Source organism: Homo sapiens, chromosome 7 (genome assembly GCF_000001405.40).
Source record: "Homo sapiens chromosome 7, GRCh38.p14 Primary Assembly".
Lineage (NCBI taxonomy): Eukaryota > Metazoa > Chordata > Mammalia > Primates > Hominidae > Homo > Homo sapiens.
Genome location: NC_000007.14, coordinates 35,082,217 through 35,099,327, shown reverse-complemented (window position 1 = coordinate 35,099,327; position 17,111 = coordinate 35,082,217). Strand labels below are relative to the sequence as shown.

The 17,111-nt window shown below is 36.7% G+C and overlaps 1 long non-coding RNA gene and 1 pseudogene across 3 annotated transcripts in view; one reads left to right on the top strand and one right to left on the bottom strand.

The window, feature by feature from the left end:
* LOC105375228 (uncharacterized) overlaps nt 1-17,111 on the bottom strand; it is a 74,297-nt gene that overhangs the window by 11,755 nt on the left and 45,431 nt on the right. The window lies entirely within an intron of this gene.
* DPY19L2P1 (DPY19L2 pseudogene 1) overlaps nt 1-17,111 on the top strand; it is a 106,187-nt pseudogene that overhangs the window by 86,848 nt on the left and 2,228 nt on the right. The window contains exons 20-21 of the transcript NR_002833.3: nt 7,382-7,481; nt 8,883-9,008. The product of NR_002833.3 is annotated as a DPY19L2 pseudogene 1 (transcript). The remainder of the gene's footprint in view (nt 1-7,381; nt 7,482-8,882; nt 9,009-17,111) is intronic.

Here is a 17,111-nt window from a genome sequence, read left to right as displayed (position 1 = left end):
GGGGGAACGAAATTTTTAACAAAACTTTTGTAAATCTGATATATAATCTGATAATGGCAACAGTGAAGAAAATTACAGAACTTCTTTCAGATAAACATATGGAAAATCTTAGAAAAACTTACCAATATATTAATAGAAAGTAATATAAAAATCAGAATAAATATCATAAAATTATTGAACAAAACTCAAGATTGATTTCTGATTAAAAAGAAAAATACAGTTATAGGGAAAAGTGGAATTACTAACATCTAACTAATGTATTAAGGATGCCAATCTAAAATTTGCTAATAGCATCATATTTAAAAAATAATAACTATTAACATGAGAAGGAATGTAAGATTTTTTTTTTTTTTACTTTTTTTTTTATTATACTTTAAGTTTTAGGGTACATGTGCACATTGCGCAGGTTAGTTACATACGTATACATGGGCCATGCTGGTGCGCTGCATCCACTAACTCATCATGTAGCATTAGGTATATCTCCCAATGCTATCCCTCCCCCCTCCCCCACCCCACAACAGTCCCCAGAGTGTGATGTTCCCCTTCCTGTGTCCATGTGATCTCATTGTTCAATTCCCACCTATGAGTGAGAATATGCGGTGTTTGGTTTTTTGTTCTTGCAATAGTTTACTGAGAATGATATTTCCAATTTCATCCATGTCCCTACAAAGGACATGAACTCATCATTTTTTATGGCTGCATAGTATTCCATGGTGTATATGTGCCACATTTTCTTAATCCAGTCTATCATTGTTGGACATTTGGGTTGGTTCCAAGTCTTTGCTATTGTGAATAATGCCACAATAAACATACGTGTGCATGTGTCTTTATAGCAGCATGATTTATAGTCCTTTGGGTATATACCCAGTAATGGGATGGCTGGGTCAAATGGTATTTCTAGTTCTAGATCCCTGAGGAATCGCCACACTGACTTCCACAAGGGTTGAAATAGTTTACAATCCCACAAACAGTGTAAAAGTGTTCCTATTTCTCCACATCCTCTCCAGCACCTGTTGTTTGCTGACTTTTTAATGATTGCCATTCTAACTGGTGTGAGATGGTATCTCATTGTGGTTTTGATTTGCATTTCTCTGATGGCCAGTGATGATGAGCATTCTTTCATGTGTTTTTTGGCTGCATAAATGTCTTCTTTTGAGAAGTGTCTGTTCATATCCTTTGCCCACTTTTTGATGGGGTTGTTTGTTTTTTTCTTGTAAATTTGTTTGAGTTCATTGTAGATTCTGGATATTAGCCCTTTGTCAGATGAGTAGGTTGCGAAAATTTTCTCCCATTTTGTAGGTTGCCTGTTCACTCTGATGGTAGTTTCTTTTGCTGTGCAGAAGCTCTTTAGTTTAATTAGATCCTATTTGTCAATTTTGGCTTTTGTTGCCATTGCTTTTGGTGTTTTAGACATGAAGTCCTTGCCCATGCCTATGTCCTGAATGGTAATGCCTAGGTTTTCTTCTAGGGTTTTTATGGTTTTAGGTCTAACGTTTAAGTCTTTAATCCATCTTGAATTGATTTTTGTATAAGGTAAGGAAGGGATCCAGTTTCAGCTTTCTACATATGGCTAGCCAGTTTTCCCAGCACCATTTATTAAATAGGGAATCCTTTCCCCATTGCTTGTTTTTCTCAGGTTTGTCAAAGATCAGATAGTTGTAGATATGCAGCGTTATTTCTGAGGGCTCTGTTCTGTTCCATTGATCTATATCTCTGTTTTGGTACCAGTACCATGCTGTTTTGTTTACTGTAGCCTTGTAGTATAGTTTGAAGTCAGGTAGCAAGATGCCTCCAGCTTTGTTCTTTGGGCTTAGGATTGACTTGGCAATGCGGGCCCTTTTTTGGTTCCATATGAACTTTAAAGTAGTTTTTTCCAATTCTGTGAAGAAAGGCATTGGTAGCTTGATGGGGATGGCATTGAATCTGTAAATTACCTTGGGCAGTATGGCCATTTTCACGATATTGACTCTTCCTACCCATGAGCATGGAATGTTCTTCCATTTGTATCCTCTTTTATTTCCTTGAGCAGTGGTTTGTAGTTCTCCTTGAAGAGGTCCTTCACGTCCCTTGTAAGTTGGATTCCTAGGTATTTTATTCTCTTTGAAGCAATTGTGAATGGGAGTTCACTCATGATTTGGCTCTCTGTTTGTCTGTTGTTGGTGTATAAGAATGCTTGTGATTTTTGCACATTGATTTTGTATCCTGAGACTTTGCTGAAGTTGCTTATCAGCTTAAGGAGATTTTGGGCTGAGACAGTGGGGTTTTCTAGATATACAATCATGTCATCTGCAAACAGGGACAATTTGACTTCCTCTTTTCCTAATTGAATACCCTGTATTTCCTTCTCCTCCCTTATTGCCCTGGCCAGAACTTCCAACACTATGTTGAATAGAAGTGGTGAGAGAGGGCATCCCTGTCTTGTGCCAGTTTTCAAAGGGAATGCTTCCAGTTTTTGCCCATTCAGTATGATATTGGCTGTGGGTTTGTCATAGATAGCTCTTATTATTTTGAAATATGTCCCATCAATACCTAATTTATTGAGTGTTTTTAGCATGAAGGGTTGTTGAATTTTGTCAAAGGCCTTTTCTGCATCTATTGAGATAATCATGTGGTTTTTGTCTTTGTCTCTGTTTATATGCTGGATTACATTTATTGATTTGCGTATATTGAACCAGCCTTGCATCCCAGGGATGAAGCCCACTTGATCATGGTGGATAAGCTTTTTGATGTGCTGCTGGATTCGTTTTGCCAGTATTTTATTGAGGATTTTTGCATCAATGTTCGTCAAGGATATTGGTCTAAAATTCTCTTTTTTGGTTGTGTCTCTGCCCGGCTTTGGTATCAGAATGATGCTGGCCTCATAAAATGAATTAGGGAGGATTCCCTCTTTTTCTGTTGATTGGAATAGTTTCAGAAGGAATAGTACCAGTTCCTCCTTGTACCTCTGGTAGAATTCGGCTGTGAATCCATCTGGTCCTGGACTGTTTTTGGTTGGTAAGCTATTGATTATTGCCACAACTTCAGATCCTGTTATTGGTCAATTCAGAGATTCAACTTCTTCCTGGTTTAGTCTTGGGAGAGTGTATGTCTCAAGGAATTTATCCATTTCTTCTGGATTTTCTAGTTTATTTGCGTAGAGGTGTTTGTAGTATTCTCTGATGGTAGTTTGTATTTCTGTGGGATCGGTGGTGATATCCCCTTTATCATTTTTTATTGTGTCTATTTGATTCTTCTCTCTTTTTTTCTTTATTAGTCTTGCTAGCGGTCTATCAATTTTGTTGATCCTTTCAAAAAACCAGCTCCTGGATTCATTAATTTTTTGAAGGGTTTTTTGTGTCTCTATTTCCTTCAGTTCTGCTCTGATTTTGGTTATTTCTTGCCTTCTGCTAGCTTTTGAATGTGTTTGCTCTTGCTTTTCTAGTTGTTTTAATTGTGATGTTAGGGTGTCAATTTTGGATCTTTCCTGCTTTCTTTTGTGGGCATTTAGTGCTATAAATTTCCCTCTACACACTGCTTTGAATGCGTCCCAGAGATTCTGGTATGTTGTGTCTTTGTTCTGGTTGGTTTCAAAGAACATCTTTATTTCTGCCTGCATTTCGTTATGTATCCAGTAGTCATTCAGGAGCAGGTTGTTCAGTTTCCATGTAGTTGAGCGGTTTTGAGTGAGATTCTTAATCCTGAATTCTAGTTTGACTGCACTGTGGTCTGAGAGATAGTTTGTTATAATCTCTGTCCTTTTACATTTGCTGAGGAGAGCTTTACTTCCAAGTATGTGGTCAATTTTGGAATAGGTGTGGTGTGGTGCTGAAAAAAATGTATATTCTGTTGATTTGGGGTGGAGAGTTCTGTAGATGTCTATTAGGTCCGCTTGGTGCAGAGCTGAGTTCAATTCCTGGGTATCCTTGTTGACTTTCTGTCTCGTTGATCTGTCTAATGTTGACAGTGGGGTGTTAAAGTCTCCCATTATTGTGTGGGAGTCTACGTCTCTTTGTAGGTCACTCAGGAGTTGCTTTATGAATCTGGGTGCTCCTGTATTGGGTGCATATATATTTAGGATAGTTAGCTCTTCTTGTTGAATTGATCCCTTTACCATTATGTACTGGCCTTCTTTGTCTCTTTTGATCTTTGTTGGTTTAAAGTCTGTTTTATCAGAGACTAGGATTGCAACCCCTGCCTTTTTTTGTTTTCCATTGGCTTGGTAGATCTTCCTCCATCCTTTTATTTTGAGCCTATGTGTGTCTCTGCACGTGAGATGGGTTTCCTGAATACAGCACACTGATGGGTCTTGACTCTTTATCCAATTTGCCAGTCTGTGTCTTTTAATTGGAGCATTTAGTCCATTTACATTTAAAGTTAATAGTGTTATGTGTGAATTTGATCCTGTCATTATGATGTTAGCTGGTGATTTTGCTCATTAGTTAATGCAGTTTCTTCCTAGTCTCGATGGTCTTTACATTTTGGCTTGATTTTGCAGCGGCTGGTACTGGTTGTTCCTTTCCATGTTTAGCGCTTCCTTCAGGAGCTCTTTTAGGGCAGGCCTAGTGGTGACAAAATCTCTCAGCATTTGCTTGTCTCTAAAGGATTTTATTTCTCCTTCACTTATGAAGCTTAGTTTGGCTGGATATGAAATTCTGGGTTGAAAATTCTTTCCTTTAAGAATGTTGAATATTGGCCCCCACTCTCTTCTGGCTTGTAGGGTTTCTGCCGAGAGATCCGCTGTTAGTCTGATGGGCTTCCCTTTGAGGGTAACCCGACCTTTCTCTCTGGCTGCCCTTAACATTTTTTCCTTCATTTCAACTTTGGTGAATCTGACAATTATGTGTCTTGGAGTTGCTCTTCTCGAGGAGTATCTTTGTGGCGTTCTCTGTATTTCCTGAATCTGAATGTTGGCCTGCCTTGCTAGATTGGGCAAGTTCTCCTGGATAATATCCTGCAGAGTGTTTTCCAACTTGGTTCCATTCTCCCCGTCAGTTTCAGGTACACCAATCAGACGTAGATTTGGTCTTTTCACATAGTCCCATATTTCTTGGAGGCTTTGCTCATTTCTTTTTATTCTTTTTTCTCTAAACTTCCCTTCTCACTTGTTTCATTCATTTCATCTTCCATTGCTGATACCCTTTCTTCCAGTTGATCACATCGGCTCCTGAGGCTTCTGCATTCTTCACGTAGTTCTCGAGCCTTGGTTTTCAGCTCCATCAGCTCCTTTAAGCACTTCTCTGTATTGGTTATTCTAGTTATACATTCTTCTAAATTTTTTTCAAAGTTTTCAACTTCTTTCCCTTTGGTTTGAATGTCCTCCCGTAGCTCAGAGTAATCTGATCGTCTGAAGCCTTCTTCTCTCAGCTCGTCAAAGTCATTCTCCATCCAGCTTTGTTCAGTTGCTGGTGAGGAACTGCGTTCCTTTGGAGGAGGAGAGGCACTCTGCATTTTAGGGTTTCCAGTTTTTCTGTTCTGTTTTTTCCCCATCTTTGTGGTTTTATCTACTTTTGGTCTTTGATGATGGTGATGTACAGATGGGTTTTTGGTGTGGATGTCCTTTCTGTTTGTTAGTTTTCCTTCTAACAGACAGGACCCTCAGCTGCAGGTCTGTTGGAATACCCTGCCGTGTGACGTGTCAGTGTGCCCCTGCTGCGGGGTGCCTCCCAGTTAGGCTGCTCGGGGGTCAGGGGTCAGGGACCCACTTGAGGAGGCAGTTGGCCCGTTCTCAGATCTCCAGCTGCGTACTGGGAGAACCACTGCTCTCTTCCAAGCTGTCAGACAGGGACATTTAAGTCTGCAGAGGTTACTGCTGTCTTTTTGTTTGTCTGTGCCCTGCCCCCAGAGGTGGAGCCTACAGAGGCAGGCAGGCCTCCTTGAGCTGTGGTGGGCTCCACCCAGTTCGAGCTTCCAGGCTGCTTTGTTTACCTAAGCAAGCCTGGGCAATGGCGGGCGCCCCTCCCCCAGCCTCGCTGCCGCCTTGCAGTGTGATCTCAGACTGCTGTGCTAGCAATGAGCGAGACTCTGTGGGCGTAGGACCCTCCGAGCCAGGTGCGGGATATAATCTCGTGGTGCACCGTTTTTTAAGCCGGTCCGAAAAGCGCAATATTCGGGTGGGAGTGACCCGATTTTCCAGGTGAGTCCATCACCCCTGTCTTTGACTGGGAAAGGGAACTCCCTGACCCCTTGCGCTTCCCAAGTGAGGCAATGCCTTGCCGTGCTTCAGCTCGCGCACGTTGCATGCACCCACTGAGCTGCGCCCACTGTCTGGCACTCCCTAGTGAGATGAACCCGGTACCTCAGATGGAAATGCAGAAATCACCCGTCTTCTGCGTCGCTCACGCTGGGAGCTGTAGACCAGAGCTGTTCCTATTCGGCCATCTTGGCTACTCCCACTATAATTGTTTTTTATACAAAAGTACCAGGAAGTAAGCATTTGGTCTTCTGATATTTCAAGAGATGAAATGGAAGCCAGATAGATTTTGATGTATGTCTAGTTATGACCAAATTTATACATGTTATTACTCCAAAAAGTACTACTAGCAAGTAGTGAAATGATTTCATGACATGTATAAATGGTGTCAAGTCAAATGGTAACTCTGAGAACTTAATTAAAGATGATCTGAGGGAAGAAAACAATGTTTTCCTTTTTTTATGGCACATCCACAGGACTACAGTTCACCAGCCACAAAAGTCATTGGAAAAAATGTCCCATGAGACTTGCCCTTCATGGCAGTCTCTCAGCTCCTGGCATTTCACATTCTTGGAACAGATGTGACATTTTACATTCTTTTTGTTTCATGTGTGTCTGTAGTCCTGCTGTTAGCATGGTGCTCTAGCATAGCAGGAAGCTTTAGTGAAACAGCTAAGAGGGCAGGCTCTGGAACTTCCTAGCTGTGCAGTCTTGGGCAAGTCACTTAACTTGGCTGTGTCTCTTCATCATCTACAACAGCAGTCTGCAACCTTTTTGGCACCAGGGACTAGTTTCATGGAAGACCATTTTTTTCCACAGAACTGGGGGGTAGGGGGTGGTTTCTGGATGAAATTGTTCCACCTCAGACCATCAGGCATTAGATTCTAATGAGTGCACAACCCAGACCCCTCACATGCTCAGTTTGTAGATTCTACAAAGTAAGAACAGAGGACCTACCCCTTAGAATTGTGAAAATTAAGTTATTTCTTGTTAAAATATGGAGCACAATTTCTATCACCAAGATAGCATTTAACAAAAGTCAGCTATTATTGTAGTAGATAATGAATAACTATTGAGTTAATAAAAAGAATGAGGTCCATGGTCATGTAAATAGGCATCATCCTTCTTAATTTGGGTTCACATATTAGAGGTAAGTTTAACTTCTGAGTTTCTTTAATACATTTAATTGAAGAATATATCCTTTTTTTTCAGATGCTGTCTTCGCAGGTGCCATGCCTACAATGGCAAGCGTCAAGCTGTCTACACTTCATCCCATTGTGAATCATCCACTTTACGAAGATGCAGACTTGAGGTTGGCAGCTGATGAGTATTTCTTCAAGACTCACTTGGCGACTCCCAATTCTTAGGAATTGGGAAAATTTTTACACACACACAGACACACACACACACACACAAACTCATCCTCATTTTCGTACTGGAAGTTAAAAAAAAATGACAATAACCATCCAGAAATGACAATATGTACCTGTTGCCTCTGGAGCAAGCAGACCTCTGAAAACTGAAAAATGCAAAAGCCAGTTTTTTCCAAAGTGACAAATGTGTCACATATTTATGATGTGTGCGTGTATTCCAGTAAAACTACTAGGTAGTTGGAAGAGTAGGTAGGATGGATTTTACTCACAGCCATGGTTTGCCAACCCCTGCTCTACACCACAAGCCCCACTCTGATTTAAGAAATGATTTCTAGATCTTACTGGTGGCCAATGACTAGCTTTTTGTGACAGGTAGAAAAAGTACATGAAAGTTGCTATTATATAGTACGTGCTTTCATGAAAATTTAGAGTATTTTTGCTAGTCGATTATGAGAACTCTAGTTTCCATTGATGTCTAAAAGTTTTGCTTTCCTTAAATGGCTGGTTTAAAAAATTATTTTGGTTATTCTAGTAGTTGTCAGGGTAATCATTTTTAAAAGTGGATTTTTGGCCTATTGTTAGAGGCAAATGTTTAAATTATTTAAAAGTTTTAGGTCTTCTGTCTAGGAGCCAGGGCTTGGAGTCAGACACCTTAGAAGTGTACCTGATGCTCTCTCTGTTCTACTGTGGTGAACTGGCATGGAAACCACTGTGGTGACTGAGCATCCCATATGCTTGAAATTCTAAGCAACATCCAATGCATAAGTGATAGTTTGTCAGGATTTTGTAAGAATTCCCACTACGGTCAAATCACCTATTGTACCATATTTTGGTGACCATCCCCATTTCTCAAGATTCTGTGAAGGTGCTTTTCCTACCTCTTCTGATACCGTGGATGTCCATTGTCTAAGTGTTCTACTTGATACACTAAATTTCAATTCATTTATTTGTCAGAGCTTCTTTAGATGAAATTAAGCATTGAAAGATGTGTTTTCACTACATTCAGTCTCTGTCAGAATATATTCTCTGAAAACTGTGTGAATTATGAGAAGAAAACTGTATATCCTAAGCTGCTCTCTGCTACCCAGTACAACTTTAGACTATCTTATACAGTAATGAGCAGTATATGCAAAATTAAATTGCTGTAAGTTTTATTACATTCAAAATATAAGTAGGAATGTGGAAACTGCCATCCCCAAAATAGTTGATGCTGTTTTGAGTCATGTATATCAGTGTTCCATCCAGTGAGTATTGAGATTTCAATTTGCTAGTAAGATTTTTTTAGTCTATTCTATTATCATTTATTTTAAAATCTTTTAAACTATTGTTTAAATTTAAAGGGCTCGGACAAAAATAGTTTATTCTACATATAGTCGAAAATCTGCCAAAGAAGTAGGAGAGAAATTGTTGGAGTTACATGTGAATTATTATGTTTTAGAAGAGGCATGGTGTGTTGTGAGAACTAAGTGAGTATTAACCCTATGCTATCTGATATGGTACATTTTTGAGCAACAAATGTTTCACTTTATTACAGTAGTCCTGATTCTTTAAGAATTTTTATTTTAAATTTATTAAAATAATATCCTGGTACCTTAGTTTAAGTTATTTCATCTAGGGACGTAAAACTATACTATCAATGAAGTAGAATTTAATTCCAAACATTATAGTATATTTAATATCCTGATTTTTCAATTTAACATCTTCCACTTAGCTTTTTTCATAATTTTTGAAATATTTATGAAAATTTTTATTAGATATCTGAAATATGGATTTGAATTTACAGCAAAGTGAGATATTGGCATTCTGTATTATAGCTGAATTATATTGGATTTATAAGACTTAAAAGAAAAGTGACAAAACCCAAAATGACATAAGGAAAACATTCCTAATTAAAATTTTTTAATTTCTGAATTTTGAATCTCTAAAAATCATAAAATTCTAAGATGTGTAATTGATCTTATGAGGACTTTGTTTAGACTCCTAAGCACAGATATTAGCTGCTGCACATGACAGGAAATTCAGGCACATTAATTGTCTCCTAGAACGACACATTGGCAATCAGAAGAACAAAACAGGTTCTACAGTCACTTCAGTATATCATTTACAATGTGCAAAAGGTTTCAGAGATGCAAACTGAAATGAGAAAGTATGAACAATACTCTGAAAAAAATAAGTTAATAGAAACCGATTCAAGTAGGTCCAGATGTTGGATTTAGCAGCCAAAGACTGCAAAGCCACTATTACAAATACATTCAAAGGCTTAAGAAAAATGTATTCAATGAATTAAAAGAAAACATGGTATCCATTAGTGAAGAGCTATGGAATCTCAGCAGAGAAATAGAAACACTCCAGCCCCCACGGAAATTCTAGAGCTGAAAAGTATAATAAATGAAATGAAAATCATTTAAATGTACTCAACAATTCTGAGATGAAAACAGAACATTTGAACAGAAAATGCAGTGAATTTGAAGATAGATCAAGAGAGAATAGTTAATCAAAAGAACAGGAGCCAAAAAGATTGAAAAATAACCAAAGTCACAGACCTATGTAACATTAAGTAGTTCAACACATGCATAATTTTAGTATTAGATGTAATGAAAAAAAGAACATGACAGAAAAAATATTGAAGAAATGTTGGCCAAAAATTTCTCATTTGATAAAAGCTACTAACTGAGAGATCTGCTAAGCTCAACAAATCCAACTGGGTGAAGCCCAAAGAAAACCAAAGCAAGGAACATTATAGTCAAAACGGTAAAATCAAAGATTAAGAGAAAATCTTGAAAATAAGAGAAAAAAATTATATGCTATATAAACATCTGACTTCCCAACATAAATAGTGGAAATTATCAGACACTGGAATGATAATTCAAAGTGCTGAAGAAGAAAAATCAACAATTCTATATTTAATGAAAGTATCTTTTTAAAATGGAGGCCAAAAATATTTTTCAGATCAACAAAATCTAAGATAATTTGTTGGTAACAGATTTATACTTCAAGATGGACAAGAAGTTCTATCAGCTGATGAGAAATGATGCCAGATGGTAACTCAGGTATACAAGAAATACTGTGATGCGCTGGAAATGGTAAATATGTGGATATTAATCACTATACGTTTTTCTTCTCTGAAAATCTTTAAAAGACATTATTTAAGGCAAAGGTGATACCATTATATTTTTTAGTTTATGACAGAAATTAAATATACATGACAATAGCACAAAAATTGAGTAAACTGTGGAAATGTACGATTTACTAGAAATAACCCAATTTAAATGGTAAGTAAATCATGATATGTTAAAGATGCTTGTTGTCATCCCTATCAAAACCACTCAAAAAATAAATAAAACAGTGGGGAAAAAAAGAGCATAATGGCAAGCCTAGACATGGATGAGCCTGGATACATTAAGTGAAATAAGTCAGCCACAGAAAGATGAATAGTGCATGTTGTCACTCATGTGGAAGCTCAAAGAAGTAGCTCATAGAAGTAGAGTAGAATTGTGGTAATTAAAGGCTGAGTGGGAAGGGTAGGGAGGAGAAGAAGATACGGAGAGGTTGGTTAAGAGATACAAAACTACAGATAAATAGAAGGAATAAGTTATAGTGCTCTCTGGCACTGTAGAGTGAATATTAGTTAACAGTAATTTATCTTTATATGTCAAGAAAGCCAGAACAGAGGATTTTGAATGTTCCTAGCACAAACAGATGGTAAACATTTGTGGTGATGGATATCCTAATTACCCTTATTTGATCATTACACATTGTAATTATGCATTGAAATATCACTCTATACTCCATAAATATGTACAAGTATTACTTGTCAACTAAAACTAAAAGGGGAAAAAACCTAAACATATAACTAACTTAAGACCCAGCAGTTGTATTGGGCATTTTTTCCCAGAAAGGTGGAAAGTTATATTCACACAAAATTCTGTAGAAAAATGTCTATAGCAGCTTTATTTGTAATAGCCTAAACCTGAAACAACCCAGATGTTTTTCGCAAGGTGAATGATTAAATAATAGTGATCTATTCATACCATGGAATACTGCTCAGCAATAGGATCAAACTATTGATACACTCAAGATCCTGGATGAATCTCCAGAGAATTGTTTGAATGAAGAAAAGACAATCCCCAAAGGTTACATACTGTATGATTCCATTTGTATAACTGTCTTCAAATGACAAAATTATAGATATGGATGATTTGTGGTTGCGAGGGGTTAGGGTGGGGTAGGAATATGGGGGGAGTATAGTATGTGTGGCTATACAAGGGATCTCTGTGGTGATGGAAATGCTCTCTATCACCATTCTATCAATGTGAATTATCTGGCTGTGATATTATACAAATGTTGAAGATGTTACCATGGCGGAGGACACTGTCTAAAGACTGTACAAGAGCTACTTGTATTATCTCTCACTTAATGTGGATCTCCAAATGTCTTGAAATAAAAAGTTTTTTTAAAAAAACAAAAGAGCACAATAGCAAGCCTATATCAAACCATATCAGTAATTTCAAAGTGAAAGAGGACTAAATTCTTCCAAACAAAAGGTGGAGATTGGCAAACTGAATACAAGAGCAAAACCTATCTATGGACTGCCTGCAAGAGGTGCATTTTAAATACAGATAGATATGTATATTGGCTGAAGGAAAAAGAATGGAAAAGATATCATGTGAGTAAACATTAGAAAAGCTGAAGTGAAAAATGTATAAATATCAGAGAAGATAGATGTTAAGACAAAGAATATTACTAGAAATGACTATGTTTTATAATGCAAAATAGTTCAGTACAGCAGAAAGATACAATAATTTGAGTGCATATGAACTTAAAAGAGAACTTCAAAATATATGAAGCAAAAATTGACAGAATGCAAAAGGCAACAAACAAGATTAAAATGGAATTATAAAAATCACTCAATCCAAAATAAGGCAGAAGAAGTGGAAAAGGGAGATGAAGATCAGATGGAACAAAGAGAAAACACCGAGAAGACAGACTTAAATCTAACCATATTAATTATGACATTAAGTGTAAATGGACTTGTGGTAGGTAGGCTGAATAATGAGCCCCCCATGATGGCCATGTCCTAATTCCCAGAAATTGTGAATTACGTTACTCACATGGAAAAAGGAAATTTACAAATGTGATTAAATTAATGCTCATGAGATGTGGATATTATCCTTATTATCCAGGTAGGACAAATGTAATCACAAAGTCTTTATAAGGAGGAGGCAAAAGAGTAAGAGATCAAAAAGGCGATGTGATGGTAGAAGCAGAAGTTGGAGTGATATAAGGCCACAAGCCAAGGAAGGAGGCCAGCTTCTAGGGCTGGAAAAGGCAAGGAAGTGGATTTTCTTCTAGAGCCTCCTGAAGGATTGGAGCCCTGCCAATACCGTGATTTTAGACTTATGAGCTCCAGAATTTGAAAGAGAATAAATATATGTTGCTTTAAGCAACTGTTTGTGGTAATTTGTTATAGCAGCAATAGGAAACGAATATAGCTCTAAACACCACAAATGAAAACCAAGAATTGTCAGATTGCATAGCAAAGCAAGACCCTACTATAGGCTACTTTCAAGAAATTTACTTAAATATAAAGAAACGAAGAGGTTAAAAGTTAACAGATAGGAAAAGGACATGTGATGCTACTACTAGTCAGTGAAAGCTGGGGTGGCTGTAATAACATCAAAGTACATTTGAATGCTAAGAATATTATCAAGGTTAAACAAGGAATTTTAAATGAAGAAGGGATCTATATTTCAAGAGGATGTAGCAACTCTGAACATTTATGCACTTAGATAAGAGAGCTTCAAAAATATGAAACACAACTGATAGAACTTTAGGAAAAAATAGACAAATCTACAGTATAGTTAGAAATTTTAATAGCCATGTCTAAATAATTTGTAGAACAAATAAAAAGAAATTTGGCAAGAATGTGGAAGACTTGAATGACGCCATCAACCAATATGACCTAATTGACATTTATAGTACACACCACCCTAGAACAGCAAAATAGACATTCAAGCACACGCAGACTATTTATCAAAAAAGACCATTTTCTAGGCCACAAAGCAAGTATTGACACATTTAAAATACTTTAGATCATGTAAAGTACAATCTCTGACTACAATGAAATTAAATTAGAAATCAGTAACAGAATTCTATATGGAAATTCCCTCAAATGTTTAGAAACTAAGTAATACACTCAGATAATACATGGTCAAGAAGAAACAAAAGGAGGGTTAGTTTCAACGTATGTTGACCTAAGGGAAAATGAGAACACCATCCCGCTATTTGTGGGATGCAGATACAGCAGTAAGAGATTTGTTTTTATGTTGAATGCCCATAATAGAAAAAGAAGAAAGGCCTCATATCGGTCACTCAGCTTCGCCTTAAGGAACTAGAAAAAAAAGAATAACTAAACTCCAAAGTAAGGAGAAGAAAAGAAAGCATAAAGATCAGAATCAAAATCAGTGTGTATTTCCTCCCAAAACAGGGAAAAGTCAGTAAAACCAAACACTGATTCTTGAGAAGATTAATAAAATTGATAAATTCCTACCCAAACTAAAAGATTGAAGACAGAAATTACTAGTATCAGGAATAAGAAAGATTTTATCACTACAGGAATCTGAAGAAATGAAAAGGATAATGAGGGAATTTTAGGAACAACTTTATTCCACTAAGTAGGACAAAATAGATAAAATGGACAAGTTCCTTGAAAGGTGCAAAATCAAAGCTCACTTAAGAAATAGAAAATCTTATATCTATTACCTTATTATGAATGACCTTGTATCTATTAATAAAATTATATTTGTAGTAAAAAGAATTGTCACAAAGAAAACTTTAAGACAGATATCTTCACTGGAAATAATTCCAATTCTACAAACTATTCCAGAAAATTCAAAAGGAGGGATTACTTCCCAACTGGTTCTGTGAGGTCAGCATTATCCTGATACCAACATGAGAGAAACATTACAATAAAAGGAAACAACCAATCAAAATTTATCATGAACACATATGTGAAATTTTTAAGTAAAATTGCAACAAATGAATCCAGCAATATATTAAAGAAAGACAATATATAATGTGCAAGTGGAGTTTATCCCAGGAATGCAAAGTTGTCTCACTATTTGAAAACCAATCAGGTGAATTCACCATAGTAACAAACTGAAAAAGAAAGACCGCATCATCACGCATCATCCTCTCAGTACATTCAGGAAAAAGTATTTGACACAATTCAGTATCCATAACTGATTAAAAACCCTCAGCAAACTAGGAGTAGAAGGTAACTTGCTACTAAGAATCTAAGAATATAAAATTTCTAGGAGAAAATATGGAAGAAAATTATTGTAACCTTGGATTAGGCTAAGATTTCTCAGATACAGTAACATAATCATGATCCACAAGAGAACACATTGATAAATAGGACTTCATTAAAACTGTAAACCTCTGCTTTTTTATAAACAGTGTTAGGAAGAATTAAAAGATAAACCACAGTCTGGGAGAAAATATTTTCAAAGCCTATGTCTGATAAAGGACTTTCTCTAGATGTATTAAAAACTCTCAAAACCCAATAATAAGAAAACAACCCAATTAAAAATGGACAAAACAGGCCGGGTGCAGTAGTTGGCTCACACCTGTAATCCCAGGATTTTGGGAGGCTGAGGCGGGTGGATCACCTGAGGTCAGGAGTTCGAGATCAGCCTGGCCAACATGGCTAAACCCCATCTCTACTAAAAATACAAAAAGTTAGTTAGCCAGGCGTGATGGTGGGGGCATATAATCCCAGCTACTCGGGAGGCTGAAGCAGGATAATTACTTGAACCCAGGAGACGGAGGTTGCAGTGAGCCGAGATTGTGCCGTTGCACTCCACTCGGCGACAGAGCAAGACCTTGTCTCAGGAAAAAAAAAAAAAAAAAAGGACAAAAAGACAGATGGCAAATAATCACACAAAAAGATGCTTGATGTTACTAGTGATTTGTGAAATGCAAATGAAAATTACAGTGAGATGTAACTAAACACTTAATAAAATAGCTATAATTGAAAAAAAAACTGCCAAGTGTTGCTGACACTATGGAGGACTTAGAACTCTCATACACCAGTGGTGCAAAAGTAATATGGTACAACCACTCTGCAAGACAGTTTAGCAATTTTAGAAAAAGTTAAACATACAACTACTGTATTTATTAAAATAAAAGAAAGCATATATCCATCCCAGTAATTGTACACAAATGTTCATAGCACTTTATTTTCTGTATTAGCCCCAAACTGGAAACAATCCGCTTATTTATCAGCAGATGAATGTATAAACACACTATTAGAATATCCAAACAATGTAAATATTACTAATAAAAATGAACGGACTATTGTTACAGCAATATGGATGGATCTCAAAATAATTCTACTGAGGACAAGAAGCCAGACAAAAAAGAAAGCACACAATAATTAGAATTACAAAAGGGCAGAAGTAAACTTTTGGGAGAGATGGATATGTTCATGATTTTTATTGTGGCTGCTGTTTTACAAGTATATACCTATGTTAATATGTATCCAAGTGGATACTAAATATGTGCAGCTTATTGAGTAATTATTGAGCAATTACGCCTTAATACATCTGCTAAAAAAAATCTGGCAGACTTTTACCCAGAATATACAAAGAACTCTCACACCTCAATAAGAATCAACACAAAATTTGGCAAAATATTTGAATAGAAATTTCACCAAAGAAGATATTTTGAATCATCCATAACCATACTATAATGATTAAAATTACAAAAACTGATACAACTTAAACTCTCATGCATTGTTGGTGGAAATGGAAAATGGTGCATCTACTCTGGAAAACAGTTTTGAACTTGCTTATAAAGATAAATCCACACTTAATCATACATAACCATGCAACCCAGCAATTCCACTCCTAGGTGTTTCCCTAAGAGAAATGATAACATATGTCCACAAAAAGCCTTGTCCATGAATGTTTATAGTGGCATTGTTCATGGTCACCAAAAACTCAAAACATCTCAAATGTTCATTAACTTGCAAATGGATAAACAAATTGTGTTCTCTATATACAATGAAATATTATTTAGCAACAAAAAGGAAGGAACTACTGAACCACAACAGAAGTTGTAGGAACTACAGCTCAGATATGAGTATCAAAAACATGCTATGGTAAAGAAGCCAAAAATGAAAAGACTACATAATATATTTATATGAAATTCTAGAAAAAGAAAACTATAGCGCAGAAAGTACAGTAGTTGCCTGAGGCCATGTTTGGGGAAGATGGTAGATTGCAAAAGGGCACAGGGAACTTGTGGGAGTGATGGAAATTTTCTGTATTACGATTGTGGTAGTGCTTACACATCTATACACATTTGCCCATACCTGGCAAACTTTACACATAAAATAGGTGAAGTTTTATTGTGTATAACTTATACTTCAATATAGATGTTAAAAAATTAGAAATCAATTTTGTCTGACTCCTTCCCTTTAATGACTGCCATCCAGGATTACTCTCTAGGGAGGAAAGTGTCTCATTTAGCCCAGTCATAGAGCCACCCAAAATGGGAAAGCATTG